Source organism: Homo sapiens, chromosome 5 (assembly GCF_000001405.40).
Source record: "Homo sapiens chromosome 5, GRCh38.p14 Primary Assembly".
In the NCBI taxonomy this organism is placed as follows: Eukaryota; Metazoa; Chordata; class Mammalia; order Primates; family Hominidae; genus Homo; species Homo sapiens.
The window spans coordinates 163,662,015-163,666,247 of NC_000005.10; positions in this window are offsets into that span (position 1 = coordinate 163,662,015).

A 4,233-nucleotide genomic window follows, 5' to 3' on the forward strand; every position below is an offset into this window, starting at 1 on the left:
GAGGAGGGCAGATGCCTGAGCCCAGGAGTTTGAGACCAGCCTGGGCAACATGGCAAAACCCCATCTCTACAAAAAAATATAAAAATTATCTGGATGTGGTGATGTGTGCCTGTAGTCCCACCTGCTTGGGAGGCTGAGGTAGGAGGATTGCTTGAATCTGGGAGGTCAAGGCTGCAGTGAGGTTTGATCCCACCACTGCACTTCACTCCAGCCTGAGTGACAGAGTGAGACCCTGTCTCAAGAAAAAAATAAATAAAAGAATGCAAAAAAGCACATGGTGTCTGGAGAGTGAGTTACTGTTACTCGCTGTTCTAGTTCATAAGTGGAGAACATAAGAGCTAAGGAAATTGTGATTTAGGTCAGGTCATGACAAATTGGAAAGCAAGAAGTGGTTACACTATAATTTTCCTTCAGGTTTCCCTTTCCATTTTGAATAAGGCCCCCTTCCTTTATAGTAAGAAACTACATTGTAGTGATTTACAGATCATTGGCAGAGTTCCGTAGAAGCTGATGTTTGTTTCTGAGGCTCTTTTCTCACTCCTTTCTAATTTCTATGGTGTACTAGAGCAGAGCTGTGACCACAGCTTGCTCTTCATTTGGTCCACTGGCTTTGAATCTCTACTCCTCCATTTTCTAGCTCTTTAATTTTTGGACAAAGCATTTTTACCTCTTCGTGCTTCAGTTTCCTTATACGTAAAGTGGAACCTACTTTATGGGATTGTTGTGAAGATTAAATGTGTGTGTTTATATGTGCATAAAGTTCCTCAAGTAGTTCTGGCAGGAGGCTAAGAGGTCTGTGCCTGTTGGCTTAACTTACTCTCTGCTTCAAATTGCTCATGCTTTGTTACCCATCCCTTTATCCTGCACTCCTGCGTCCTCAAGGTGTTTATACAAAAACACCTTGAGAGTCTTTTGTTCAAACCTTCTTCCCTTTACAAAATGTCCAAGCTCCTCGGGATTCTGACACTTCCAGTACTACTTTAGGACTGACAGGTCTCATCTGCCCCATTCCCCATTTGCTCTTTCCCAAGGCACCTTCATCTTAGTAAATGACATCATATTTCATCCAGGTGCTTTTACTTCTCTCTTTACCACATTGGATTCATCAGCAAGTCAGTTTTATTCAACATCTAAAATATTTCCCTAAGTTCTTCCACTTCTTTCTGCCTCACTGCCACCATCCTAATTCCAGCCACCTTCTTTCACCTGGGACTAAAATAGTTCTTTCTTGCATCGGGGCCTTTGCATCTGTTCTGTTCTTTGCCTAGAATGCTACTTCCTCATCACTTTCCAAAGATGTATCTTCTTCACCATTTATATCTCAGCCCCAAAACACCCTGAAATATCTCCTCACAGGTCTTGATTATCTACTCTGTGTGTCATAACCACCCCTACCCCAAACCCTATAACGCATTGCCATGTTTATTTCCTGTAAGGCATTTTCAAACTCTTGAAAGCATTTTATTTTATGTTTTACGTTTTTGTCTTCTCTTATGATTTTCATAAGGCAGGGGTTCTCTCCCATTCTATCTCTGGAAAATAGCAGTAGAAAAGTAGGATAGACACACAAAAGAATGCGGAATTGAATAGATGAAATTTTTGTTAAATTTATTCAATAGAATGTAGGGAGCTTGGGTAGGTCTGTATGAGCTAGGGAAAGATAAGGAAATGTATACACATTAGTTTCTTCAGTGGGGCAGAGATGGTGTAGGAGAGATGATTATTAGTTTTGCCTTTATGCAGTTTACAACAAATTACATTTAAATAAAGAAAATTAGAAAAAATATTGTATGGTGCTTAAAAACTCAGGCTTTGCATAAAAAGAATGAAATAATGTCTTTTGCAGCAATATCAACGTAACTATAGGCCATTATCTTAAGTGAAATAACTCAGAAACAAAAAGTCAAATACAGTATGTTCTCACTTATAAGTGGGAGCCAAGCTGTAGGTACACATAGACATACTGAGTGGAATAATAAACATTGGAGACTCCAAAAGGTGGGAGGATGGGAGAGGGTGAGGAGTGAAAAACTACCTACTGGGTACAATGTTCACTATTTGGGTGATGGGTACACTAAAAGCCCAGACTTCACCACAATGCAATATCCATGTAACTAAACTGCCCGTGATCCCCCTATATCTATAACAAAATTTAAAAAGGCAAATATAAGCATTCTTTCTTTTTAAAAAAAGTAAATGTCTTTTTAAAAATTGATTGACTGTGGCCAGGCGCGGTGGCTCACGCTTGTCATCCCAGCACTTTGGGAGGCCGAGGCGGGTGGATCACGAGGTCAGGAGATCTAGACCATCCTGGCTAACACGGTGAAACCCCATCTCTACTAAAAAAAAAAAAAAAAAAAATTAGCCGGGTGTGGTGGCAGGCACCTGTAGTCCCAGCTACTTAGGAGGCTGAGGCAGGAGAATGGCGTGAACTCGGGAGGCGGAGCTTGCAGTGAGCCAAGATCACGCCACTACACTCCAGCCTGGGCGACAGAGCGAGACTCCATCTCAAAAAAAAAAAAAAAAAAATTGATTGTTATAGGCGTCAAGCCAGCTCTGCTTGTAATAAACAGAAGGCAACTGCAAAAAACAAAACAAAAAACACCTCAGTGTTTGGAGCCTGATATGGTTTGGCTGTGTCCCCACCCAAATCTCATCTTGAACTGTAGCTCCCATAATCCCCACGTGTCATGGGAGGGACCCGGTGGGAGGTAATTGAAGCATGAGGGCAGGCTGTGGTAGGGAATTCTCATGAGATCTGATGGTTTTATGTGTCTGGCATTTCCTCTGCTTGCACTCATTCTCTCACCTGCAGCCCAGTGAAGAGGTGCCTTCCATCATGATTGTAAGTTTCCTGAGGCCTCCCCAGGCATGCAGAACTGTGAGTCAATTAAACCTCTTTTCTTTACAAATTACCCAGTCTTGGGTATTTCTTCATAACAGTGTGAGAACGGACTAATACAGAGCCAGAGAGACTTGGATTCAAATTCTCACTTCTCTATTTCTTAGTCGTGTGACCATGGGCTGCATACATTTTTTTCTGTTTCTCAAATACAAAAACCTTTCCCCCTGTGTTTGGGCATTTAAGCTTGCTGCTGCTTCTCCCTGGAATGCTCTTCTTTTAGATATTCTCATGGCTGGCTTTAACTCATCTGTCAGGTCTTGCTCTGTTCAAACGGCCCTCCTCAGATGGGATGTTCTTAATCACCCTGTGTAAAGTTTCTGCACTGCCAACTTACTCGTGTGACTGTCCGCTATGTCACCTTGTTTATTTCCTTACAGTACTTATGACTTTATAGAATTATCTTATTTATTTATTTGTTTATTTATTGTTCATTTCACTCAAAGGAACATAAGTTCTAAGAAAACAATTACCTTCTCATTCTTGTTCACCTAACACCTAGTAAAGTATTGCCTGTGATATAGGCACTCAAATGTTTATCAATAAAAAGAAAAAAAAATTTCCACCTGTGCCTCAGTGAACTCGACCACAAAATGAAAGGTGGCTAGCCCATGGGGACATTATAAAGTTCATATATGGTGAAGAAAAGCACTTAACACTCAGCCTGGCACACTAAACATGGAATTCGTAATAACTATGGTTCTTACATTGTCCTAGATAATGTATTTAAATTTTATTAATACTCGTATCATTTTCCACACTAGTAGAATACAGGTCAAATATCTCTTGTCCAAAATGCTTGGGACCAGAAGTATTTTGGATTTCAGTGTTTTTGGAATATTTGCATATTTATAATGAGACATATTGGGGATGGGACCCAGGTGTAAACATTTATTTATGTTTTATATATACCTTATACACCTAGGCTCTAGGCTATAAATTTATTTTTCCCTTGGGGTCGCTGAATAAACTGTGTATTGTGCACCTACATTTTGACTGTGACCTGTCACATGAGGTCAGGTGTGGAATTTTTCACTTGTGGTGTCATGTCCATGCTCAAAAAGTTTCAGACTTTGGAGCATGTTGGATTTTGTATTTTTGGATTAGGGATGCTCAGGCTGAAATATGCATACTAGTTGCTAGATCTTGTGCAACTACTAACTTCTAGGCACTTTACATTCAACTTAGTTCTTCCAGTTGTTTGGGCAGAAACCTTGAAGTCATATTTGATTCTTTTTTTCCACACTCAACATAAACCTATATGCAACTCCTATAGCCTCTACCTTTAAAATATACCCAGAATCTGACAACTTCTTTTTTTTAAATTAATT